The sequence below is a fragment of the Homo sapiens genome, chromosome 3 (assembly GCF_000001405.40).
Source record: "Homo sapiens chromosome 3, GRCh38.p14 Primary Assembly".
NCBI classification, from domain to species: domain Eukaryota; kingdom Metazoa; phylum Chordata; class Mammalia; order Primates; family Hominidae; genus Homo; species Homo sapiens.
Genome location: NC_000003.12, coordinates 37,662,790 through 37,690,624, shown reverse-complemented (window position 1 = coordinate 37,690,624; position 27,835 = coordinate 37,662,790). Strand labels below are relative to the sequence as shown.

The window sequence follows — 27,835 nt, the reverse complement described above, 5'->3', positions numbered from 1 at the left end:
AGCTGGGAGCCCTCATGCACCTGGCTTGAAGCTTATCCTTTCATGTCCAGGTCTGTTTCCATGCATGCCATAACAGTCAATACCATGAAGATGTACACATAACCCCAGCCCCTTGAGTTTTTCTCCCTGCCTATCCCTGGTCACATGAGGCATGCATGAGTGCAGAAATCCAGAATGGGCTAAAAACAAAACAGAATGAGGTGGGGAGGGGAGATTTCTTAGAACCTATGAGTGGTAAAGTCCTGACAGGCCTGTAACAGCAGGCATCAGATTTCTAAAATGTCCTGACATCTCCCTGCCACCAGAAATGTTACTGGCCCTTTGTTCAACATGGGCAGCCTCTTTCCATCCTACCGGGTTCTCTCCTGCCCCTCCTCCTTTGCTCTCTTCTACCCTCTCATCCCTGCTCCAACCTAGGTTCCTCCTTCACCAGCCAAATAAACTGACTCATTCCACCCACCCTAGCTCTGCAATGTAGGAATCAGCTGACATCAGATCCTTTGGAGGCTCATCCATGTACCTTAAGCACTTATCCAAGGATTCTGTCCAACATGGCACTAGCCACTGTGGTAATGACTTGCTTCACCTTGTCATATCTGTGCTTCAAACAACGTTTCAGCACCTCTGTAGAGCAGCTGGCACCTTGTGCTTTAATTGCTTACTGACATGCCTTTGGCCCCAATAGGCCATGAGCTCCCTGGGAGCAGGGACTAGATCTTTGTGTCTCCTTGTGGCTGGAACAGTCCCTAGCATTTAGCAGGCATTCAACAACTGCTGTCCAAACAAATTCATGGCTGTTTGACAAAGGCAAGAAGAGCCAAAGTCCTTTGTGCCAAACGGCTCCAGGGCAAAAAATTAAAATGAGGCTTTACCTTGACTCCAGGGCCATAGAGCTGTACATCTCCAGGGACACCACTCACATTATATTCTGTGGAGGTGTCGTTTACATGGAACCCAGTGTGAATGGTGACCCTGGTGTGATGCAGTGGTTATCTATTCTTCCTTATGCTCCTTTTTAACCATGCAGCACCCCCCGGCCCCAGGAGCTCCCTCTCACTGCTCCCACAGGGCACCCCAGGAATTGTCACTCTGTAGTGAGGCTTTGCTGGTTCCTTGCCCGGCAGGCAACACGGTGCACTGGGCCTGCCCCTGAGGAAACCCAGTTGCTGGCCATAATACCCTGTGCTCTGGCTGGACAGCACACGCCAGCCAGCAGAGTAGCCACCAACAAATTAAGCCCTCTTTTATAATGTGTTTTCAAGTTAGCTTTATTTAGGAGAGAAAAAAGCCAGCAGATGGTCATCCATGTGTACCCCATGTTTTTATAAGCAGCCTTCCCTCAAAGGAAAAAATAATCCAGAATAAATCTATGAAAGTAGTTTTGCATTAGAAGACAGAAAAATCCATTGCAGGGGATATTTTGTATTCAGTCTTAGAAGCTAATACATAACTAATGGACTGTGTGATGACAGAGAAGATAGGTAACCTTGGAGGCCTGGGCCTTGAGTCTCTGTAACTTTGCACAAAATGAATAATCATCCATCCACCTACCCGCCCACCCATCCACCCAGCCAGCCATCCACTCACCCATCCACTCATCCACCCAGCCAGCCATCCACTCACACACCCATCCACCCAGCCAGTCATCCACTCACCTGCCCATCCACCCACATACCCACTCATCCACCCAGCCAGCCATCCCCACTCACCTATCCACATAACTATCCACCCACTCATCCACCCAGTCACCCAGCCAGTCATCTACCTACCTACCTATCTAACCATTCAGCCACCCACCCACCCATCCATCCATCCATCCATCTATTCTGTGGACAGATCCTGTGCAGCCAGGTGAGGAGCCTGCACACGGGCTCCCTAAGCTGAGATTTAAGGACATAGTAGTTCATTAAACAAAAATGGGGGGTGGGGGTGATTCCTGGGTAAAGGCAGCTTTGGTATTAAGTGGCGACTGATTCAAGTGAGTATGTGGGGGCATGGTGAGCCAGGGGTCTGGGGAGAAAGGCAGGCAGGCAGGACCAGGCTCAGGACGGCCTCTCATGAGGAGCTGAGGAGTCTGAACTCCTTCCTGAAGAAAGTGAAGCAGAGGAGTCACAATGTCAACTTTCTTCTCAAATTGTTATTGGTATAACTGAGATTATGGGATTATTTTTATTAATCTTTTAAATTATGCATTTACCATGGCAATACTTTTTTTTACATTTGCTTACTATTGTAAATATTTATAAAAATTGTTTTGCTTCATTCTATGCTTATTTGGCTGTGGCACACTTTTTATTCAACTACTTTTGTATTCTTGAGTAGTTTATCAGTAAATAACTACTTTTCAGGAAGCTCTCATGGTTACTATAGCAGATGTGGCTAGCACCTCGCTCACATTCCCCAGAACCAGCCACAGTTCTGGTCACCTGAAGCCATGCCCCTCCAGGTCAAAGGCTTCCCACATCTTTCTGCCTGAGTTGCTTCCTGGCCCCAGGCAGTGTGGACCTACTTAGAGAAGGCTGGAAGTGCCAGAGAGTTCATGCCCAGGGAATGGTTCTCCATGATGAATGACAGGAGCTGGGGGATCGGTCCTCCAGCAGCTTCCTCATCCTGGAGTGAAGTGGATGTGAGGTTTGTTACACACAGTCTCTTGGAGGGTCTGAGGAAGACAAGCCCAAGGTGCCTACGGCAGTAACCTGCTTATAAATGCACGCCTTCCTGTCTTTCCTCTCTTTCCTGTCTAAACTCAACACTGAGATCGCCCACCCCCAAATAAACTACCTGTACCTGTATCATTGTATCAGGGTATGCTTTTGGGGAAATCCAAACTGGAAGAGGTAATAGCCTATGAATTCTCATATATCTGAGTATATCTTTATTTTGACGTCACAATGGAGGGCAAGTTGGCTGTGTGTTGAATTTAAAATTCACAATGGAATATACTGTTCTAATTTTGGACATTAATGTTACAGAAAAGTCTGTAGAAACTGGTTTCTTTGTTTTCTGCTAAGTGTTAATAGTATCATTTTCATATCCTTAAAATTAAAAATTTCATGAAGCTATTTGTAGACATTAAAATGTTTTAAATATTTTTGCCTGGTGTCTGCTGCACCCATTTCAGGAAATGGAGATCCTCCTTTGCTGTCTAAGGAATGGCTTCTGTTCCAATTATTCTGGAACCATTTTCTCTTTGCTGTTTTCCAGTTTCTACCTTCCACAATATAGTCCTCATGTCATCCTTTTTTATTGCTTTGTTCTTTTTCTCTGAATTCTCAGAGCCTCTCAAAAACACCTCCGCATCATTAAATCAATTTTCTGTTCTGCTGATTCTGCTCTTTCCTGACTATAACATATTTTAATTCTGCCACTGATTTCCTGGTTTCATTGTAACATTTCTTTATCCCATCCATAACATTTATTTTTGCTTGCCTCCCAGTCCATTCCATTTTCATACAGTCTATTGTTCTACTGTCTGATCTTCCACTTTGTTCATTTTTTTTGACTTTCATCAAAAAGTAGATGCTCTGTAAAATTTACTTTTGTTTTCTATTAATAATCTTTTTAAAACTTATGCTTTCCCTCTGTATCTTAGTCATGCTTTTCTTAGTTTACCCATTAGAATATTTCACAGGCCCATGTTGGTCCTGTTAGGCCTGTGGGTTGTTAAGCAGGTTGGGGGGGCTCTCCTGGTGCCCCTCACTAGCCACTGGGTCCTGTCAGAATCCTACCCGGTGCTGGGTGATGCCATTTACATCCGCTGTTTATCAACCTTGCAGCGTGGCTGGAGTCCTGGAAGGGTAGTTTCTGTTTCTTTTCCCTTCCTTTTCCTGCCACCCTGAGGGTCGTCTTGCCCATCTGCGTTTCTGGCTGGCCCTGCCTCCACAGCAGCTACAAGATACCTCCCTGCTCCATCACCACTCTGGAGCTAACACTCACCACGTCCCGAAGAGCCTGATGCTTTGTCAAGTTTCTGTCGAACTGAAACCTAGGGTTCCTTGTGACAAAGGTTTCAAAGGTTGCTGGAATTCAATGGCAAAGAGATCAAAATGATGTGCTCCCATTTTTCCCATGGCCAGCTACAGTGGCCAATGGCTTGTACCTGTGGCCTTCCCAGGCACATTGTCTTTGACTTCCTAGAGCCTCCTTGTCCAGCATGCTTGGGAGGCTACTCACCACGCCTGCGTCCCTCCAGTGGCCAATGACGATACAGGGGTAGAAAATGATGCTGTCCCCAGCAGCTTCAAGGGGGGACAATTCTGCAGAGTGATTTATGCTCCAGGGCTTCCCCACCTCTTCCCAGCCCATAAATCAGACCAAGGCTAGCTTTGACCCGACAGCACATCCCTCCCAGCCCATCCCCTGCCCCTCCCTGCTCCCTCGCCCCTCTTCTCCTGAGAGTGCTCCTCCAATAATTCACACACATTGTGCCTCATGCAGTGAAGAGGGGATGCGGACGAGATGCAAAAAGTCCCTGGTGTATAGTAGGTGGTCAAAAATGTGACTTCACACCCTCTGAAAAGTTATAGAGCTAAGGATATGATCATTTACTGGTACTAATCTCCATAAAAGACATTTCTCACAATTTTACTTAATATAGAAACTGGGAATAACCTAAATACAGAATAAGAGGAATTTTTAAGGTAAATCCACAGTATATCCATATGGTAGAATATTATGCAATCTCCAAGCTAAAAAGAAAAGCATGGTAAAGGGGGAGCAAAGCAAGATACAGGAGGCTAGTGAGTTTATAAAATAGTAAGACTAAGTCCTATATACTGACAGAGTGGGGTCAGCTCTGAGCTTTCTAGCAGCCAATAAAGAGAATGAAGCCTAGTCAGTCACAAGGTAAAAACAAGCCAAAATTCTCAGGCAAAGGGACAGCTATTTCTAAGTCTGGAAATAGCTTAAATGAGGCTGGAAGGAAATTTCTCGCATGGGTCCTGAGTGAGAGAAATCTGTGTAATGTAATGAGCCAGTTGCCAATTACATCTTTTCAGTTACCACAGAGATGAGTTCCACAGATCAAATCCCCAAGGAAGCCCCTTTCCCCCACCTACCAACCCACCCTGCACAGGGAGATGGCATCACAGCACATGCGATTCTGTAAAAGATACTGTGTGTGTGGCCAGCGATACTTGAACCATACAGATACTTGGTTCTCTCTTGACTGGGCTTAATCCAGCGGTAATTTTTAGAATATAGAAAGTGGATGGAAAGCACACCCCTCCTGCAGTCCTTGATTGCTTTTGTGGCCTCCCTCAACCCTGGAGCTCCTAAAAGCTATGAAGCAGCAGGGAATCTGAGATGACTTCTTGGAAAGTTTTGGAGTGCCTCTACTGTTGGTGGCTCTGAGCATTTCAGCTGTCCCCTAAGCTGGGCAGGCTTGGCACAAACCTGTCAACACTATTGAGGCCACAGAATATGTGCCTGAACAAACGCCGTTGACCTGCTCAATGTATGCCCAGTGCTCATCGGTGGGCAGAGTGAAGGTTTTCCACAGAAAGTGATTTTGGTTCCATTTTAACATAAAGAACAAGGCAACCCCGTTCAATGCTGTAAATATTAAAAAGCTGCAAGCAGTCCCAGCTGAACAGCTATCAGCAGTTAGAGCAACACTGGGTAGAGCAGAGTCGACTTTTGTCCACTTGTTCCCCCTTGTTGTCTGCAGGGAAGCCTGTTCACTTCCTCTGAGAGGTGGTACACTCGGGATGATTATGGGTAGGGGAGAATACCAGCACTGTACCTTTGAGTCATGCTATATAAACTTCACTTCATTCAAATTAATTTACTCTAAAAAAACTCACTCAATTTGTGGAAATAATTTAACTACCTCAATTCACTCAAATATGTTAGGAAGGCCAGGGGCGGTGGGTCACACCTGTAATCCCAGCACTTTGGGAGGCTGAGGCAGGCGGATCACTTGAGGTCAGGATTTCCAGACCAGCCTGGCCAACATGGCAAAACCCTGTCTCTACCAAAAAATACAAAAATTAGCCAGGTGCACACCTGTAGTCCCAGCTACTCGGGAGGATGAGGTGGGAGGATCACTTGAACTCAGGAGGTGGAGGTTGCAGTGAGCCAAGATTGTGGCACTGCACTCCAGCCTGGGTGACAGAGCGAGACTTGTCTCAAAAAATAAATAAATAAATAATCCAAAGCACAGGCCAAAGCAGTGACCCTCTACTAGAAACATCAAGTACATCATACATAATAACTAACACGACAAGCAGTGATCTGCCCTTACTTTCACAACTACTGACCTAAAACTGGAATTCTCTAGAACATGTGTGTGCTGGAGACAGCAACTGTATCATCTCCAAGAAGGGGCCAGATGTAAAACCATAGGGAGAGGATTCCACAAGAGAGAAGGGATGGGAGACTACATAAATACAGACACTTCTCTGGCACTCTGTGGGCATTTACGGCTGCTTCTTTGGCTATACCAACATGTTTTCTAAGCCCAGGAAGAAAAAAGTTCTAATCATTCTAAATGATAGTCCACAGAAAGGATTAGTGCTTGTAGAATCATTGCCTATTCCAGGCAATAATGAAAGTCAGCAAGCGCACCAGATGGAACAACTGCTCTTTTTACAGGGATGCCCTCCTTACCTTCTGCCACATGTTGATGAAGAAGAGCTCCCGGGAAACATTGAAGGACACGTTGGCATCATAGGCATCATCTCCGAGGTTGGAGATAGAGATGTTTAGGGAGATGTTCTTCACAGCCCCCAAAGCTAGATACAGGGTTTTCTCATCCATACTGTAACGAAAAATAGACAGCAATGAATGCCCTGAGGCCTACACTAATATAACATGAGGCACAGGGGGTAGTTGAAGGTGGGGGGCAGAAACCGAGATCAGAACTACAAGTTCCAGGAGCCCCATTAACTAGCCATGTGTCCTTGGGCAATCAGTTAGCTCTAGGGCCTCAGCTTCCTCATGTAAAGCACAGGGTTCTACCTTGCCTAACTCACTAGACTGTTTAGAGGCTCACATGAAATCTTGTACATCAAACTTCAAAAACTATAAGGCACTTAACAACCTAAGCGTGGGATTCATTTGTACATGAATTCATGCGGTTATTTCTGAGTGCCTACCATGTGCCAGCCACTACTCCGTGCTAGGGAAGTAGCAGCAAAGAAAACAGAGTCCTGGTAGCTTCAGGGAGAGAGAAAACACACATAGAAAGAAGCAAATATGTCTGTCAGATTGTGGTAAGAACTGTGGAGAAAACTTACAAAGGGTAAGGAAGATAGAACATGCCAGACTTACAAGGGAGGTGGGGTGCAATTTACAATAAGGTGATCAGGGAAGTCTCACTGATGAGGTGACTTCTCAGTACAAACCCGAAGAAAGAAGGGGAGCAAGAAACACGGTATGTGGGGACTAGCAAAGGAGAAGTCCTGAGGTGGGCGTGTGCCTGGCATGTGCAGGTAACAGCAAGGAGGTCAGTGCAGCTGGAGAGGAGTGATAAAGAGAGCAGGAAGGATTGAGCTCAGAGGGACTGAGGGAGTTGGGGCAGCAGATCCCACAGGGCCTTGAGGGCCAGCACAGGGACCTTGGTTTGACCCTCGGAAGCCCCTTCAGGGCTCTGAGCAGAGGAGCAGCGTGACTTGACGTTAGTGTTTAAAGGAGGCTCGCATTGGCTATGATGTGAACGGTCTGTGGAGTGGCCAGGAGAGGAACAGGGGGCCTGAGTAGGAGGCTCTTGTGACAATCCAGGTGTGAGAAGATGAACGTGAAGGCCAGGGTGATGGCAGCTGAGGGGGTGAGAAGGGGTCATATTCTGGACACATTTCAAAGGTCATGCCAACAGATTTTTCTCATGGACTGGATGAAGGGTGTTAGGAAAAGAGGAGTCAAGGACTGCTTCAAGGATTTTGGATTCAATAACTAGAAGAGAAAAGTTGTCATTTATTGAGATGGGAAAGACTGGGTTGAGAAGGTTCAGCAGAGAAAATCCAAATGCCTATTGGGTTTTAAAGGAGATTTTGAGGCAGGTGGATGCATGAGTCTGGAGTTGAAGGAGGGGTCTGGGCTAGGATACATTTGGGACAGACTAGAAACGATCACTAGGAAATGAGTATAGATAGAAATGAGGACTCACATTTAGGAGTTGAAGATGAGGAGGTGTCAGCCAACAAGACTGGAAAAGCATGGCTAGAGAAGGAAGAGGAAAATCGAGAGAGGAGTCATCCACATGGTCACAGAGGACAGTCTCAAGAAAGGAAGGATCAATTTTGTCCAATATGGCAGACAGGCCAGAACAATGGGAATAATTAGAACTGGCCATTGGAATCAGCCTTCTGGAGGTCACTGGTGACCTTGATAAGAACTGCTGAAGTGGCACGATGGGAGGAAAGCCTAACTGGAGAGAGTTTCAGAGATGTAGGAGGAGAACAAATGGAAGCAATGAGGACAGACAACTATTTGGAGGAGTTTTTCTCTAAAGGAGAACAGAGAAATTGGATGGTAGCTGGTGGGGGAAGTGGGCTCCAGGGAGTTTTTTTGCTCTTTTTTATTAAGATGGGAATTATCATAGCATATTTGCAAGCTAATGGGAATGATCCATTAGAGAGGCAACAATTAATGAAAACACGACAGGCAACAATTGCTGGGGTCTGATGAATGACTGTTCTCGCCTGGCTGGAGGTGAGCTGAAGATGCATTAGTAGATGGGTGGTAGGAACATGCGGGAATTCCTCTGTGATTGCTTCTATTTTGTAGTGAAATAGAAGTAGGGTGAAAGACTGGGAGTTGGAGGAGAAAGAGGTGAACGTTTGAGAGGTGAGGAGATGGAGGGAAATGGGGGCCCAGGACAGGGGTGAGTGAACGGGGCTAGGATGAGAACGGTGATAAGGCTGAGGCTGAAGATGACAAGGATGAAGATGCATGAGAGACTGATGATTATTGTGTGATGCGACCTTTGAACAAAATAAATCCATGTGAGTGGCCAGTTTTAATCGGATAACCAGTTAATGGAAGACGTAATTAAGGATATAAGGGTTTGTATAATGAACAGTTGTTATTTTTGGCCACTCAGCATCCTGACATCCTCGTGTTTTGGGGGAATCTCAAGATAGGTGGGGCGGCACATCAGCAGAAAGGGGGCAGACCCTCTCTTTCCCCTCTTCTTGATCACTAGGGTGTGGGCACTTGCCTAAGTGAAATCATGTGATCTAAGGGTGATCAAGTGGCAGCGATGTGAGAACAGATGCTCCCACCCAGGGCTACAAATTTTGAGGGTTGCACAGAGACACCAGGGATCATCTGAAGTAGCTACAGAGGAGTAAAGGGCCCAGAGGTGGAACCCTGGACTAAGACTTGCCTCCTCTGTTTCCTGCCTGTGTTGGTTCCCCAGCCTTCTTGTCTATGCTCTGAACCACCCCACATCCTTTTAATAAATTCCTTTTCTGCTTAAATTAACCAGCATACGTTTTTCTTGTTTGCAACCATTAATACAGCTAATACACCATGCAAAAGAAGAGAACTCTTCAAAATCTCCATAGGCAAAAATACTTTGAAATACTAATTTCTGGGGGGGTGGAATCCTCATTACCCATCCGTGAAGAGAGGACCTCACTCTCCTGCATGTCTGGCACATCAACAAGAATAACATGTGCAATGAGAAATATGATGGCCTTGCTTTGGAAGCACGGGCTCTGAGGATCCAAACAAGATGTGAAAAATTAACTTAAGAGCTGCAAATTCTTGAACGGCCTCCAATAAATTAAGACCCTGATCTCAAGCTATTGTGGCAATTATTTATTATTGTTGGCCATTTTAATCTTAAACAGTGGATAGGTTATTTCTGTTCTTCTGTTTGCTTTTGGAAGATTAAAAGAATAAACCTCAGGCTTGAGTTATGAGAGAGTGCTAACCTAGCTTTATCTTGAGAAGGAAGTGGACAGGCATTCATAAGTAGTCCTGACATCAGACAGTGTCCAAGGTTTCCATGGAATATTTGGCAGGGAGACAGTATAGATGAGCCCAGGACCATGGAGGAGGGGCTGCCTCCTCATTCCAGTTTAGTTGTTCATGTGATCAGCTTCCTTTCCTTATATGTAAAGGGTAAGGGATCAGGCCAGGGACATCTAAACTTCTGCCAATCCCCAAACCTTGGGCCTCTGTCACTTAATCACACAGCAAAGTCATTCCTGGGATTTCAAAGTCAAGTGATTCAAACAAGGCTCTGTGATTAAGGGAAGCAGCCAGGCAACTTCCAGGGCAGAATGTGAACTCAGATTTTTTTTAGAGGAGTCTCAAAGCTGGGGTTTCATTCTTTCTCCAAAGCTAAAAAAGTCTTTGACTAAAACAGCACATCTCTGCTTCCAAAGTTATTTTTAGAAATGAAATGAAAATGTGATGTGCCAGCATGATATTGGGTGTTGTCAAATATGTCATCCTTCTGAAACCTCACAACACTGAGAAAGGGTCTTGATATTAGGCCCATATTAGAGAGATGAGGAAATTGAGATGAAGAGAGAGAAGACGCTGTGCTGGTATGAGAACCCAGCAACTCCTATCCCTTCAAAACTCATTCCTCTCCAACATAACCCACATTCTCCAGCCCCCTGACTATCATGTCCCCAGGGGATCCTTCCTGATCTCCCTGCCTAGGTGAAATAAATCCTCCCATTATGAGCCCCCCACCCCCCATGTGCCCCATCAACCCTTCATGGCACTTATCGAAGTTGTGGTTATGCATTTGTTTGTGGGGCTTTTTGGTTGAGGACTGTCTATCCCCTACTAGAATCTAAACATCAGGGGTAGGACCCTTCTCTGGCTTTGCTTATCGTTGAACTCCTAGTGACAGAGTAGTGCCTGGCACATAATTTCTCAGGGAATAAAATTCCTTGAATATCAGAAAGATTCTTCTTCAATAAATAACTAAGCACCGTGGAATGTTCAGCATAAAAACCCCGTGCCTGATTGTTTTCATCTTTCAGCAGGACTGTCAGAGAGGTTGGTCTCTCCTAGCAGGTGTTCAGTGAACACTTGAATGAATGAACATCCATGACATCCCCACAACAGATCATCAGCTCCCCCTTCACATTTTACAGATGAAGAAGTTGAGCCCCAGAAAGGGGAACCCACCCAACTGAGGTCACCCGGCCATGCAGGGTCTGAGTTGCAACTAGCAGCACACCTCCTTTGGCATGAAGGTTGTCCCAGCCATGGCTCTAATATCAACTCCATCTCAGTCGGGAAGGGCTTTGGCAAGAAAGTTTACAAACACCTGAAAGGAACAGGACTCCACAAAGACCAACCTCTCTGACAGTCCTGCTGAAATAGTAAAACGATCAAGCATAGAGTTTTTGTGCTAAACATTCCAGGGGTGCTTATTTATTGAGGAACAGTGTTTCTAATCTTCAAGAAATTTTATTCCCTGAGAAATTTCCCTTTTTATTTTAATTTGCTTGTGCAGTCTTTTAAGTGGGTTATATTACTTTGTACATGGATCTCTTTGCTGTGCTTTTATATGAAAATCATTATTAGTAGTCAACATAAGATACAAAGTGTACTGCTTCTATAAAGCTTATCTTACAGCATATATATAGCCTGCTGAAAATATATTGCTCATTTGTTATTAAAAATCCTACCCAAGTATATCTTATAGCAGCTGGCTTTTTTTTGACTGCGTTATTGGGTTTGTACTTAAGTTTAGCACCAATTCATTCACTATACTCAATGGAAGATGTTACTGATGACATCTTGGCAGCTGTGTCAAGCCAGAAAATCTCTGTAGAACTTGTTTTCTGTCCTCATTCATCACTGTACATTAGGATTACCATTCAAAGTTCCTTGTTGGGTAAATGCAATACATTTCCATATCAACCACATATGCTGAATCACTAAGGCAACTAAAGCAAAAATTTCCTCTTCTATCCAGATAATTTTTTGGATGGTGCTTAATAATATTCTGTTGGATCACTTAGATTTTCCTTAAGTCTTAGACATAAAAACCATGACCTTTTCTTTTGCTGCCATCATAAATCTAGCCTGAGTAAAGGCTAGCACAAGTGTTAATCAAATGCATCCAACTATATTTGCATTAAAAAAATTCTCATTACACCATCATTATTATTATCGGTATTGTATCTACCAACCACAACTATATTTAACAATGATGACTAGGATAATAGTATAGGGCAGCCAAGTCTGTCCATCCGTCCATCCTTCACTCCTTCCTTCTTTCTCTTAGTTGTTTATCCATCTGTTACTTTTTAAAAACTATTTTTTCCCACTTCATGACTATTAGGATGGCAACTATCAAAAAAACAGAAGACAAGAATTGTCAAGAATGTGGAGAAATTGAAACCCTTGTGCACTGTTGGTAGGAACGTAAAATCGAGTGGCTGCTTGGAAAACAATATGAACATTTCTCAAAATAATTAAACATAGAATTGTCATATAACCCAAAAATTATACTTTTGGGTTTATTACCCAATGAACTGAAAGCAGGAACTCAAAGAGACATTTGTTCCCCCATGTTCATAGCAGCACTATTCACAGTAGCCAAGGGTAGACACAACCCAAAGTGTCCATGGACAGACAAGTGGATAAACCAGATGTACTACACATACAATCCCCAGTTTTCTCAATCATGGAAATCATACCAAAAAGGACATTGTGAAGCAGATTTTATTCTTCCTAGGAGCAATATCATAACTAGGGGCAGCATGCCCTCAGTAAGGATTCAGCTTCCAAAAAAATCACAGATACTCTCAACAATGTATCATAAAATCAATGATGCAAATCATACATGTAAATAGCCCCTGCAATGTGAAATCACAAACAATGCTTCCCATTCTTAAAAAGGGCAGACATCATAAAATCAGACATGGAATTTGACAGCTGGAAGGGGGCCCATTTGGGTCACCATTTTGCAGATAAAGGCAGACAGTTAAATGACTTCCCCAAGGCCACTCAGCAGACAAGGGCAGAGCTCTAACCCCTGGTCCAGTCAGTGCTCCTTTGCCTTTCCCATTGCTCCTAAAGCATATAAAAATGCAACTAAATAGTATCAATGTATATGAAACATACTTGGCTATAAGATTATAAATAAAATTGTGTTTATTTCCTTAGCATTTAGAATATTTTAGAATACTGGGAGAATATTTAGAACATAAGGTGTCATCTCTTTACAAATGCTACTGAGGTGCTTAACTTTTCTCTTGACAATTTTCTTTGAAATTTGTGGAGGCATTTGAGATGACTCTAGATGTCTTTAGCCACTCTCATGGGCAACCTTCTTTCTGGGTACTTTGTTGACAACTATCAAAGCTTTTCAATTTTCAGAGTTTAAAATTACAAACATGAGTAAACCATAAAACCAAAATTGCTCATCTGTTGTCTTTCTATGAGAGATATGAGCAAAAAATACCAAATAAATTGATTATAACATGAAGAATTAAGAGACGGTGTTAATTAAGCTACAGGGAATAAGTGAGGACTGTCAGGCACCTCCTGAATGCATGCTGGTAAATGAATTACCCAGGAAATAAACCATGAAGTTGATAAGACCTGCCAAAGGAACAGGTGAAGATCAAGGGGCAAGAGAAACTCAGGGAAAAGATATCACTGTTGACTGAAGTTATTACATGAAGCTTCCAGAGACAGGTAGCAATTGAGCCACATCTGAAAGAATGATCCTAAAACTCACTTGCTTGTAAAATGCTCTGCCTATTGATGGGCAGAAAAACAGGGAGTACATTCCAGCCAGAGAGAAAAATAAACATGATCAGAGGATGAAGGTGGGCAGAAATAACATGGAAAGGGGCAGGAGAAGGACACTCTTAGCAGAAAGATTAGCGAGAGGCAAGTAGATATGTGTAGGGCACATCCAGATTCCCTTAGGTCTTGAAGACAAAGATTTGATGTTGATCTTCTAGGCCCATGAATTTAACCAAGTTTTCTTGAGTGACCAACTTAAGATACATTATTGCAAGTAATTTGACAATAATAAAACACCAAAGTGAAGATATTAAAAAATGTAGTCAGCTATAAGTGGTTCCACCTGGGGTCTTATCACTGTGTAACCTGCACAGACTGCAGTTCTATCTAGTCAGTATCCCCATCTCTTTGTCAGAGGGCTTTTTTCTGCAGGCCAGGAAAGTGCCTAAGAATTAAGCCTCTGACATGCTCTGCAGCAACCCTCAATGACTGATGGGAACTGCTGTATAATTACCCCAGCTCCCTTGCCTATTGAGTGGGACAACTCTGAAGTTCATGTGCTAGACCAGAGCTGCCCCATATGGTTGCTACAGATAACATGTGGCATTTGAGCGCTTAAAATGTGGCTGGTCTGAATTAAGTTTAACATACACATGAGTTTTCAAAGACAGCAGATACTCAAAGATGTAAAAATCTCCACAGTTGTTTTAATATTGATTACATGCTCAAATAATTACTTTTGGGATATACTGCATTAAATTTGTTTCACCAGTTTTACTTTACTTACGATATAATATGGTTGATTTGTGATAAATCTTTAATGATACATACTTGCTTATGTTACTGCTTGTGAAGTAGACGTCCAGGGGAAATAAATTTGGGTAAAAATGAAAGTAAATAGTTTTGGGCCGGGCGTGATGACTCATGCCTGTAATCCCAGCACTTTGGGAGGCCAAGGCGGGTGGATCATGAGATCAAGAGATTGAGACCATCCTGGCCAACATGGTGAAACCCTGTCTCTACTAAAAATACAAAAATCAGCTGGGTGTGGTGGTGCACACCTGTAGTCCCAGCTACTTAGGAGGCTGAGGCAGGAGAATGGCTGGAACCCGGGAGGCAGAAATTGCAGTGAGCCGAGATCACACCACTGCACTCCAGTCTGGCAAAAGAGCAAGATTCCATCTCAAAAAAAAAAAAAAAAAAAGTAGTTTTTAAAAATTGATCATATTTAGCTCCTACAACTCACTTGCTTATAAAATGCTTTAGTGAATATTGTGAAATGCTGAAAAAAAAAGCGTAACATATGTGTGCTTTTCTTTCTCACCAAGTAATTTTGAGTTTCACCAAAATCTGATGTCCAAAGTTGTATGTTGTGCAAATGAGCCTCATTCATTACCTGTGATGTGGTGGGAGAAAAAAGTAGCAAGCCACACAGATCTAGGGAATAAAGAATGTCAGTGCAGGCGCCCCCAGATGCAGAGCTGGAGACAGGTTTGAAAGCAAGTTGTTTATTCCAGAGGTGGTTCCATAAAACACCAGTAGGGAAGGGGTAGAGTGAAACACAGAAGGACAGGCAACCAGCAAAGGCAGCAACATCAAGCCAGTCAGCTCCCTGAGCACCTGGAACTTAATCTTGCTGGGGAGCTCTGGGAAACTGTGCAACACATGAGCAGAACAGAGTTATCCCATTTGTGGGATGAGGGAATATTTACGTGTCCACTCTAGTCAGTCATTGGTTGAGGGCTACTGCAAAGGCGGGGGGCTGCACATCTACTCCCAGTACCTCTGGCAAGATACTTGGTAGGCAGAAAAGGCAAAGAGATATAGTTACTAGTAGCTGCATACCAGCATAGCACATAAATATAAAAGGGATGCAGCCAGCACTGATCATTCCTGCTACAGGATCCTATGTCAGCTTTCTGAATAGGAGAATGGTCCAGTGAGTGAGGCCTGTCACTGGCAGGAGACCAGATCAGTTAATCTGAATATCTCTGAATTACAGGGGCCCAAGCTCCTTCTGGAAAGGACCCAAGGCTCTGGACAAACCCTACCCAACCCTTGGGATCCACATTCTGTTCACTTTCCTTCTTGCGTAACTGTCACAAGGAGACATCCCAGGTGCCATAGCCTCAATTTCTACTGATGTGGTTCAAGTCCCAGGCCTCACAGTCCAGCCAAATGTGGGTGTGGGTGACCAAAGACACCCCTGGCCCCAGACTGACCATCAGTGGGTTGCACCAGGGGAGCTGTACCAGTTCTCTATGACTGGCAACTGTTCTTAAAGGTAGGTGTGCTCATGCTGTGCAGGTTCTTAACTATTTTGAACATTGCCCCTGCCATAAACTGGTATAACTTAAAGGAAACACACAAGATACCACCCTTGTTGAATCTGAGGGGTGTATATTTCTGAATTTCCCCAGTGCAATTCACTTTGGGTAGACTCACTAGGGACCAACTGAAGAAGATATACATGTCAGCAAGCACAAGTTCATGAGCCTCTGTCTATAGGGCATGCACTCCTGTAAGAGGCTGCTCTCAGCTTCCCCACCTAGGAAGGCAGCTGCTATTGCATTTCCAAGGTACAACAGCATTCAGGCTATTTTGTCCCAGAATGTTGGTATGGTGTTTACTCCTCAGCCTCTGCTCACCTCTGTGGGCTGGGAGCTTTTACAGTTAAGTCTACTGCCATATCTGAGAGTTATTCCAAAGTCCCCTGGATTTGTCACAGAAGAATTTGCATTCAAAGTGCCAGTCTGGGGGCCTCTCCTTCATGACACAGGTAACTGTTCTTTAATAATCTACGCCAAATAATATAAAAGCCCATTCTCAAAACCACAACATTTCTATGTCTCCTAAGAATAATGCCGCCAACATCAGCCTTTAGTGGTACAATGCCAGGGTAAATGCCTTCATGAAATCTGTAAACAAACAGTATTATGAAGGCTAAGGCCATGTCCTAGAAAGCAAATAATAAAAACTATCTCTGTAATGGAGCTAGAAAAATACACTCATTTCATGAATATGTATTATGAGATCAAAATTTAGAGACTCACGGATTTTCAAAGCTTCAAGGGATCTCAGAATTCATTACAGACCAACCTCCTCCCCATTTTGCAAAGACATTGAGGACTAAATAAGGTAGACAACTTAATAACTTATTTAGTAACTAGTGGCAGTACCAGGATTCAAACCCACTATGTATTAGTCAGAGTCCAGAGAGGAAAGCAGAACCCATGCCAGGTAGTTCATAGAAGGGATTAAAATGGGGAACCAGGTACAAAGGTGTGAAAAGAACCAGAAGAGCAAACAAGGTAAGATAAGGAAAAGCTGAGATCAGAAGCAACTGCTGACACCCTTAGAGTTGGAGGGACTGAGGGAGGAGGTGTTGTGATTGTGACTGGGACTGGGACTGCCAAGAGGGAGCTAAGACGGTGGAGGAGAAGTAGCTACTGCCAGAGATGCTGCTTAAAGTGAGTGGAGTTAAGGAGAAACACCCTGACTTTTCTCCTCCTCCCTTTCTCCAATCTCACACCAGTGATGCCACTGGCTGAACTTCCCAAGAAGCTTATCTGCAAGGGAGCCTGGGAAATGTTTTTTTGAGTCTCACAGGGGAAAGGTGGGGAATGGATTGATGTGTCATGTTTTCAGATTCTCAGTCCATTACTCTCAGCTTGGAATAGGTTGTAGTTGGAGCTCACTGTCATGTGTGAGAACTCTGGACAAGGAAAGCCTAAAGTGCAACGAGGTACTAAAATGGAGTCGGTTTTCATGCAATGAAAGCTCCGAGATTTCTCTTTCCTACAGGGATAGGAAACTGTTTCTGTCTTGCTGTCCCATTTTAGTTAGTGACTGCCTATTGTTTTCGATTCCTGCAGATTTCAGTGAAACATGGAATTATTTAGAATATGAATATCAATTTTCACTGCTGTGAAAATCATTAAAATTTCCTGATTTAGAAGATTCTAGAGATTGTGGCAAATATTTAGGGATTTATTTTACTAACCAAGAAAGGTATTGCTCTATTTTTTGTTGTAAAAAAAAAAATCACCAAGAAATACTAAAAAAGAATATTGTACCCAAAAAGGTTCAATTCTAAATATATTAGAGAAAATCTAATTTTATTTTATATTTTAATCTATTCTAGAATAATAAAAATTGGTATTTCTGTCCAACTACTAGTCTTGTCCTGTGGTTATCCTGCAACTTGCCCCAGATAAACATAGGTAATCCCCTGTGGTTTACAGCCTCAGCCCTAAACCACCTGCTCTAGCCCATTGGATGCTCCTCATCCCAACAAGCTCAACATCCCCTATGATACGCTTTCTTCTGTTCAAAGCTTACCACCTTATCTGACCCTGTCCTCCTTCTCAGGTGTGCCTATCCCGCCTGTATTAGCCTGTTCTCATACTGCTAATAAAGATATACTTGAGACTGGGTAATTTATAAAGGAAAGAGGTTTAATTGACTCACAGTTCCACATGGCTGGGGAGGCCTCACAACCATGGCGGAAGGTGAATGAGAAGCAAAGTCACGTCTTACATGGTGGCAGGCAAGAGAGTGTGTGCAGGGGAACTCCCCTTTATAAAACCATCAGATCTCGTGAGACTTATTCACTATTACAAGAACAACACAGGAAAGACCCGCCCCCATGATTTATTTACCTCCCACCGGGTTCCTGCCACAACATGTGGGAATTACGGGAGCTACAATTCAAGACGAGATTTAGGTGGGGACACAGCCAAACCATATCACTGCCCTACCTTGGCACCACTCAGCTTCTTCTCCAGCAGTCCTGCCCTAGTTTCTCTAAATACACAACCTAGTAGTCTGGCCCAGCTCCAGCTGAACCCTGGGTTGATACCCTTATACAGCTTGTCCCAGACTTCCACTAGCATCTATCTGGATACTTGTCTGCATTCAAATACACTTGAAAAAAATCCAAACAGCAACATTAATTAAGTTCTGCTTTTGTTTTAAATCCATAACTGTACGTGGCTTTATGTTCATATTTATATATTCAAATACTGCATAAACCAATAATATTAAACAGAACATTCTATATGTATGTATACATGTTTTAACTTCCTCTGGGAGTGAGTTACTATGCCATGTAGTTTGAATTGTGCTTCCCCATCTCATCATGCTTTAGAAATCCCTTCTAATCAGGCAAAACAGATCCATATGGTTATTAACTCCAGAGAGAGATCATAGTGCACCCCTGTAACGCACCTCAATTAAAATTTACAGTGGGTCAGGGAAATCATTCCTGGGACTGAATTTCTGGTTTGAAAAACTCACTTATAGGAAGCCAGAAATACCTCCACCTCCCTCATAGGTACCCACCTGGGCCAGTTTTATGCTCAAAAAGTGAGAGAAAAAAGCATTTACTAAGATGATCTGAGCCAAAATAGTGGTTTCCCTAGCAACAACATTCAGATAATTAAGGTAAATATGTATTACTTTAAAAAAAATAGCACGTCCATGTCCCTGCCCAGCTGACTTTGGCCCCAGCCATGTAGTGGTAGAATCGATATTTGCTTCAAAGGCCATCCTCTTTCTAACAAGGCAAATAAGCCAGTCAGTGGGCCCCTCCCTGTCCCTCAAGGCAGCTCAGTCTCCCTCCTCCTGCCTCATCTGTTTAACTGTGAAAAGAACTGCTGGTTCCCAGCTAACAGAGGAATTCAAATCCTCATCAGCCTTGACTTTAGGAGTAGTTTCCGGAATCACTAAATCTTAGGACATCTGGAACAAATCAGGTTCACTCACTGTAACAACTGGATTAAAGACAAAGAATACTTTAGGGGGCAGAGGAATTCCCAAGATCTGCAGGCTGCTCGGAGGTCCAATGTCCTAAGACAGCCCCGGTGTGCAGCGATGTATGACTTGACCCGGCAAGGGCCCGCTGCTACGATCTGCCACATGTGTGCTGCCTGTTACACTTGGCCATTGCACAGAAAATGCAAGCAGTGTATGTGCATTTCATCAAAGCTAGCGGGGCAGACAGCTCAAGAAAGCCCAGGTTAGCAGGGCCATCATAGTCCCTTGACAAGTAATTCTGTCATGGCCATAACTTTTCTGTTTCTAGCTCAGGAACCAAATACGGCCATAAATAGTCACAAGCAATGGAATATATTGAAATTATGAATCTCCTAGATTTTGAATCTTTTCTCCTGGGAGGTGAGGTAGCCCTATGGGAAAGGGGAGAGCACAAATGTGTAGTTTAGCAATATGCTTTAAAAAAAACATATTAAATAAAAAGATCTGGAGGTAAATCTAATGCTATAACTCTGAAGGAGGGATGAATGTAAATGGTAGTTTGAAATATCTGCAATAACTCTAACTTGATTTGACAATACCTGTGATTTCTATTTGGGACAGAGTCACAGGTCCTGGTAATATTACTGTAGTCTGTTTCCTACATTCATAATTGAATATGATGTTAAATTTCAGTGTGAAGTTAGTGAAAACAAAATGCAATCATTTCCTTATCCGGGTTCACAGATCAGCAAGAGGACATAGACTCCAGGTTAAGAACACCTGTCCTATGGGAAGGTGAGTGGTAGGGACTGAGTTAATGACCCTAAGGGGAGGCTGTGATGGACAGAGGGAAGGAGGGATGGCAGGCTCAGCCTAGGACAGCAGGAGGAAAGGTGAGCATGGTGTTTCTGAAGGCATATAAGAAGACATTAGAAACTGTGGTTGACTTCATTCACCTCAATTCTACCACCTCAGGACTGACAAGGAGCCACCTTTAAGCCTGGCGGTTTAGATGAGAATTTTTTCCTTCTTGGCTTAGGAGGTGAAATTGTTCTTTAGCACCAGAAAAAAAAAAAAAAGTTTTAACATTTGTATTTCTTTTTTTTCTTGGAAAAAACACAACTGTTAACTGAAAGAACAGCATTTCTTCCAGTTCAAATCTCATTATCACAGAAAACTTTCTTAAAGGAGAGTCCAGTGCTCCTGGTGAGAAAGGCTTATGACTGTAACTGAACATCATCTGTCCCCTTATGCAGTAAGGACTGTACCTGTCTTCAGTTCCCCACCAGTAAGGACATTTTGTATGAAAGCCATTTCTCTCAAGGGAGCCCCCTTCCATTCCCTTGGGTCTGGAAAGTCCTCTTTAAAAACAAAGCCTCAGTGGAAGAGGTGTCCAGAGCAATCTCTAAAGACACAAAGTCCCCTGGACCAGCCTGAAGGGGTCTCCCACACATTACTCCACAAGTCTGGTTTTTAAATATAAAAATAACAAAATCCTCTGCAATTCCAAGAGGGCAAATAAAAAGCCAATGAGCAACTGTTTTTTTTTCTCTCCCACTAATGTCTGATAAATACATTGGATTTGATTTCCTTTTGAAACTTGGAATCCTAAAAAGCAATCAGCCTGCCCGGACAGGAGATCTAAGAGCAGATAAATAAAACATGAGGTTCTACCGCATCTCAGGATAGGCTCCCTTCCCTGGAAGCCAGAGCTTGTGGCAGAGATCCAGGGATCTGTTGGCGAGCCAGGGAACCAGGCTGGGGCAGGGACAGGGCAGGAGTGGACCAAGGCTGTGGGCACAGGGGGAATCTAGCCTCAACCAGACACCAAGGGGAGCTGTGCAGCATAAACTGCACCAGGGAGTTAATCCACACCCCAAATCAGCCAGCCATTGGCTAACAAGTCACCCTCCCAGGCAGGGCAAGGGTGACTTTCCAGACCAAAGGACGGGCCACTGTGAGCAGCTTGCAGCCAGCACAGCAGCTGGGAGCAGTGCACCTGCACAGCAAGGGATGTGGGTGTGACACCAATGGCAACCACCCAGCCTCGTCATTTTTGGATCAAGATCACCTGGAATGGAGTCAGGGAAGCAAGCTCATAAAATCTAGAGGTTCTCTACCTGGTACCTTCCCTCTCACTGCAATTTCAGCAAAATGATTTACGGACAGGTCACGTTAAACCCAAGTCTCACACGTGGCTCTGGAATGCAGTCAGGGAAACAAGCTCATAAAATCTAGAGGTTTTCTACAAGGTACCTTCCCTCTCACTGCAATTGCAGCAAACTGATTTATGGGCAGGTCATGTTAAACCCAGGTCTCACCGTGGCCAGTGACTACTGGGGACAAAGCGAAGCCACAGCTGCCTTTGGCTTTTCATCCGTGAAGAGCCACAGGGCAGCCTTCTTGTTCACCTGAGGTTATATCAGGTGGCTCAGAACAAACTTGGGAGGGGTGCTGATGAGAGGGTGTGTGCAGGACAACAAGAAAAGTATGTGTTGGGGAAGACTGAGTTCAGACAACAAACAACTGCGCTGCTTCAGAATTTGGCTTGGCCCACAGTAACAAGCCTGTGCCGGGATGGGTGAGTCTAGGATTATTGGCAAGGGACCAACACACACAGCCACACAGAATAAACTGCAAAAATCTTAGCAAGGAAACCACACATGGCTCCCTGTCTGCTCCAAGTTGAGAGAAGGGAGGGATTCGGGGCTACATTCTCTTCATAGATCCTTTCCTTGCGTCCAGTCACAAGGGAAATAGCCATGTCATTGTGCCTGCTGGAAAGATGCTTCCACATAAAACCTCCAATGGATGGCTATGTTTGGAAGCCAAGGAAAACACTGCCCAAAAAAATTTTATCAGGCACACCTGTGAGGTAGACTCAGCCTTCCCGGGTGTCTCAGGAGGAAGGCCGCTATGAGCACGTGGCCAGCCTCTTCTATGGTTGCCACAGTTACTGCCTCAGTGCCTTCACTGTCCCTCTGAGCATCCCCATCCTCTCACCATCTAGAAAGTCGAAGCTGGAAAATCTCAGCCAGTGTCTGCTCAGGAGGGAAGGGGCTGTCCCTGAAATATGGTATCTGTAGGGAGAGCTATCTGTTGCTCATGTATGGTGGGCCCTGAAAAGCTCCCCTCAGTGCTTTGAGTCTGCCCAACAGAGAAAAACGTCCTTGGGTGGCGGTCCCTACACTTGGAGCCTCGCATTCAGGAAACTGCAAATCAAATGCTTTCTGCAATAGGAGGAATTTCCAAAACTTGTTTCCACCTAAAGACAGGCCAGGTTCCCCAAGCTGCAATGGTTATTTAAAGTGAGGGCCCATGGGTCAAATTGCTAGAATATCAGGCTTTGGAGCCTCCCACCAGGTGTTTCTCCTGCCTCTGCTATTTAATTTTTTTGACCTCAGATAAGTGACTCTAATCCCTGTCTGTCAGCTTCCTATTCTGCACCAGAAATGCTCTGGCTCCAAGTACACACATAAAATCCCCCAACCTGGAAGAACTTGTGTGCTGGGCTTGTCTCTACCCCACATCAATGCCTGAGTTACTTTGTAAGACAATTGAGGGGCATCCCAGAGTCATGGGTTGTGCTTACGCCTGAGCTGCGCTGGAGCCAGGGCTCCTAAGAAACACAGAGTTCTGCTGCATGGCTAGGCTTGGCCCACGTCACTCCCAGGATGATGCAGGGCTCAGGGATCTTATCCTCTCTGCCTGTGGACGTGCTGTGGACACATCCCTTATCTGCCTTTGCTGCTGTCCTCAGCGAATGGGAACAAAACTTGGAGCCCTATACATGGTTCATAGGTTTGCTGTAAAGCCAAATGCCCTTCTGCATGTGTGCAATAATATATTGTTATGCTTGCTAGTGAAGGGGAAAAAAGGGTCCAGACGAATGCAATAGAGAATAGTTATCATAGTACTGGAGAATGTTGGGTGTTTGGCAAAACATGAAATGAAAGTATTCCTAGGAAGCTAATGGGAAGAAGCCTCCATGTCAAAAGGTGATATGATACTCCTGTTGGAATTTCAGAATAAATTCATCAACTGAGAGTCTTTAAGAAAGCGGGTACAGGAGATATCATCCATGTCCCTGCCATCCCCTCCCACACTCCCCACCCTGACCCCAATGCTTTTGCTGACTTTCAGCTGCCAGTGTCTGCATTTTTGTATCTAAGGGCCTTTTCCCATAGCTAGACAAGGATGCAAGTGCCAGGGAGCTAACTGTCCCCACCCACCTAACCCAGAGTAGCCCTCAACCAGTGAATCTCAGGAATTGGGGTACAAACACTCCAGCTCCTTCACTTCTCAGATATAGTCATTCCAAGAGGTACGTTTCCCTGCAGGACAAAGTGCCAATCATCCACTGTGGGAGCAGGGGATGATGCACTGATTGACAGCCTCTCTGGATCACACCCTTTGCCATGTGACTTTGCAGCTCCTCCCATCAGGAAGCAGAGTTTATTTCCATGCGACCCTGTGACATTTGCTTTGATCAACAGAATGTAGCAAAAGTGAGAATATATTTGCTCTGGAACTAGGCCTCATGAGGTCTAGTGCACTGCTGCTCTCCATTTTGGGCCCTGGCCACACTGTAAGAGTAATCCTGGGCTAGCCTGCTGGAGGAGGAGAGACCATGCGGAGGAACGCCAGCGAACCACAAACCAACAGCCAGGCACCCAACCAACCCGAGGTTGCCTGCAGATGCAAGAGGGGGCCCAAATGAGACCAGAAGACCCAAACAGCTGAGCCTAGCCTCAACAGCTGGCCACAGAATCAGGAGCTAAACAAATGGTGGCTGGTTTAAGTCATGGAGTTCTGGGGTGATTTGTTACAGCAGTAAGTAACTGATATACAAGTGCTATGGCACATCCTCACCGCAGGCTTCCCTGTGTACTTCCTTACTTCTTCATTTCCTGCACTGCTCACTCAATTATTTGCACTCAAATCCTTGTCTCATGGTCTGCTTCTAGGAGAACTCAACCTCAGACCATGTAGAGTGCTGCCTCCCTTGTGCTTCCGGGGAACTCCCTCATATTCCCATCGTGATCATGACTATAGTTAGTGATACCTGTTTTCATGTGTGTCTCCCCTTCTAGACTGGGAGCATTGTGATGCAGCATTATGTGTCTATTTCCACCAGGTCTGGCATACCCATAGCAAGTGCTCCATCCACATTTGTCAAACGAATGAACACCGTAGCATTGTGTCACCTCTCATCAGGTGAACAGAAGCTGGGCTCTCTGGAAGGGCATGTCACCCTTCGATGTCTTTCCCAGAGTGTGACTGTCCCTTACACTGCTCCTCACCTTCCCTGGGGCCTAAATCCCACCCTCCGCCAGGTAACTCCCACGGAAGACACCCACATGTCCATTCATCCTTGATGCGTGGCTGGGATGTGAGGAGAGGCATCTGCTGCCCCCTCCTAGAAAGCCCACATCAGGCTGGGCACGGTGGCTCACGCCTGTAATCCCAGCACTTTGGGAGGCCAAGGCAGGTGGATTGCTTGAGATCAGGATTTCGAGACCCGCCTGGCCAATATGGTGAAACCCCATCTCTACTAAAAAATATAAAAATTAGCTGGGCATGGTGGTGGGCGCCTATAATCCCAGCTACTCAGGAGGCTGAGTGAGGCAGGAGAATCACTGGAACCTGGGAGGTGGAAATTGTAGTGAGCCAAGATAGCGCCACTGTACTCCAGCCTGGGCAACAAAGTGAGACTTTTTCGGAAAAAAAAAGAAGGCCCACATCAGAGAAACGGCAAACACTTGTTCTGAGGAGGGCAAGGATGAGCAATCTGTCAACTCTTATTCAAAAAGTTCCATTTGGTTGAGCATTTTGCCTTTCTTTCAAGAATATACCATTGAGAAATCCATTCCTATAGCCAGAGATTCCAGAAACAGCAACCATTAAAGCCAGCTAGGCCAGGCACAGTGGCTCACACCTGTAATCCCAGCACTTTGGGAGGCCAAGGTGGGTGGATCACCTGAGGTCAGGAGTTCGAGACTAGCCTGGACAACATGGTGAAACCCCATCTCTACTAAAAAAATACAAAAATTAGCTGGGCATGATGGTGGGTACCTGTAATCCCAGCTACTCGGGAGGCTGAGGCAGGAGAATCGCTTGAACCCAGGCGGAGAAGGTTGCAGCGAGCTGAGATCACACCACTCTACTCCAGCCTGGGTGACAAGAGCAAAACTCCATCTAAAAAAAAAAAAAAAAAAAGCCAGCTACTCCAAATCAACAAACTTCTGCATTTTTTCTTCAGAGCTGGTGCAGACAATGAAGGGGAAAAAAATTACACGGCTAATGTTCTGACAACATTTTCCAGGTTTCTGATGAGTTCCTATTCACCTTCCCTCATATAATAACAATAATAGTGATGATATTACATTTTAGGAAACTGCTGGCATGCCAGCCGTAAGCTCACCATTGAATCTGAGGCTCTCCAAGGAGAGAAAATGCAACCTACATAGATAAAGAATGTGCTGACTCGGCCAGGCGCGGTGGTTCATGCCTGTAATCCCAACATTTTGGGAGGCCAAGATGGGAAGCTCGAGACCAGCCTGACCAACATGGAGAAACCCTGTCTTTACTAAAAATAGAAAATTAGCCAGGCATGGTGGTGCATGCCTGTAACACCAGCTACTCGGGAGGCTGAGGCAGGAGAATCGCTTGAGCCCGGGAGGTGGAGGTTATGGTGAGCTGAGATTGTGCCATTGCCAGCCTGGGCAACAAGAGCGAAACTCCGTCTAAAAAAAAAAAAAAAAAAAAAAGAATGTGCTGACTCAATGCAAGGACTGCCACTGACCCAGCAGGACAGATTGCTTGTGTCTCCAGGAGGAAAAGCTATTGAACAAGGCCTCCAGGTCAGACAGCACATGGGGAGAATGGAGGGGAGGGATGGCAGCTATCTTTGCTGGTGGATTTTTTGCCCATCTACCTCCTCTCTGGATTGGGGCTTTCAAAGAGAGGAAGACTTTTTACCCAAGGTCTCTAGCCTTAGTACCTCTGGTCTAGAGCCAGCTGATAGCTGAACCCAGAGACAACAGAAGCCAATGTACAGGAGGAGAGCGCGATGTAGAATCAGACATTCCAAGCTTTAACTTTCCCATACAACATGAGCCTTGAGCAAGTAACCTGGCCTTCCTGAGCCTCTGCACCGCCTCAGTAAAAAGAGTATAAGAATATTTATTCTCAGTGTTGTTGAGGATTAAATGAAATAATAATGCTAGTTTTCACTACTGAGTGTTTCCTTATATGCTAAGCACTTTTAGAAGCACTTGGATATGTATTAATTAATTAATATGCAAAATAACCTTATAAGGTGCTGCTGTTATTTTCCCCATTTCACAGAGGAGAAAACAGGCAGAGATGTTAAGCAACTTGCTCAAGGTTATGCAGCTGGTAAGATACTTCAGTGCTTTTATGTATATGGAGTATTCAGTGGGGTATCTAGTGCTTGGTCAGTGCTCACTAAACAAGGGTGTCTTTCCCTTCATAAAACAGGACAAACTTCACTTCTGACCTAGGCTGTGCAGTTGATGATTCTAACCATTCTGCCACTTTTGAGAAGGAGAACAATTTGTTTCAAACTCTAAATAGCTCTCTGGGTTTGGGGATCCTCCTCTGGAAGACTGGTTTTCATGGATGGAGCTCTCATCCCTCAGCTAGCCAACAGTTTTGGGAAATGCACTTCGCCCCACCACCCAACCCCCATGGTAACAGCACTATCAAGGTTACAACCATAGGACAATTATATGTTGCCACCAGATGATTCTGGCTTTACAGATATCCTGCTGTGTCTTTCCATCTCCCTTAAAAGTCCTTATTTTATCGGAGTTGGCTAGCCAGACAGCAATGAAATGTTCCACTGATTTCTGATGGAATGCATCAAAAAAAGAATTTTTTTAAAGCTCACTTGCCATAGTCTTTTTCTTTATCATATGTGATGCTTTCTTAGGTACTGTGAGTATTCAAAAAGACAAAACATAGTTGCATCCTTTTACAAATGGAATTTTCAGTCCTGCTTAATAGAAACTTTTAAACAAGTTTCATCCCTGTTCCTGGACGTTTTGACAATGGCCTGTTTTGGAACTGGACTCAAGCCCATTAAAGATCATGAACTTCTAATTGAAGAGTTGATTGTTTTAAGAGATCACAGGCCTGCCAGAATTCATGCTCTCCAGAGAGGAAAATAAAAACATCCATGAATCCTGGTCACAGACAGCATTTCCTATGGCTTGATCTCTGGCCACTCTGGGTGACACAATCACTCCCAGATGTCCTTCCCTCTGTCTTAAGACAAAGGCTCCTCAGTCTGGTGGGTATTCAGAGGCCTCCAGCCACAACACCATGGACCAACTGTCTACACAGTCATCAGAGAAATCTTTCTCTGTGACCCCTT

At 44.5% G+C, this 27,835-nt stretch overlaps 1 protein-coding gene across 1 annotated transcript in view; it reads right to left on the bottom strand.

Moving 5' to 3' along the window:
• The window catches only part of ITGA9 (integrin subunit alpha 9), a 371,367-nt gene that overhangs the window by 132,883 nt on the left and 210,649 nt on the right, over nucleotides 1-27,835 (bottom strand). The window contains exon 18 of the mRNA NM_002207.3: nucleotides 6,610-6,760. Coding sequence (NP_002198.2) covers nucleotides 6,610-6,760 — 151 coding nt within the window. The remainder of the gene's footprint in view (nucleotides 1-6,609; nucleotides 6,761-27,835) is intronic.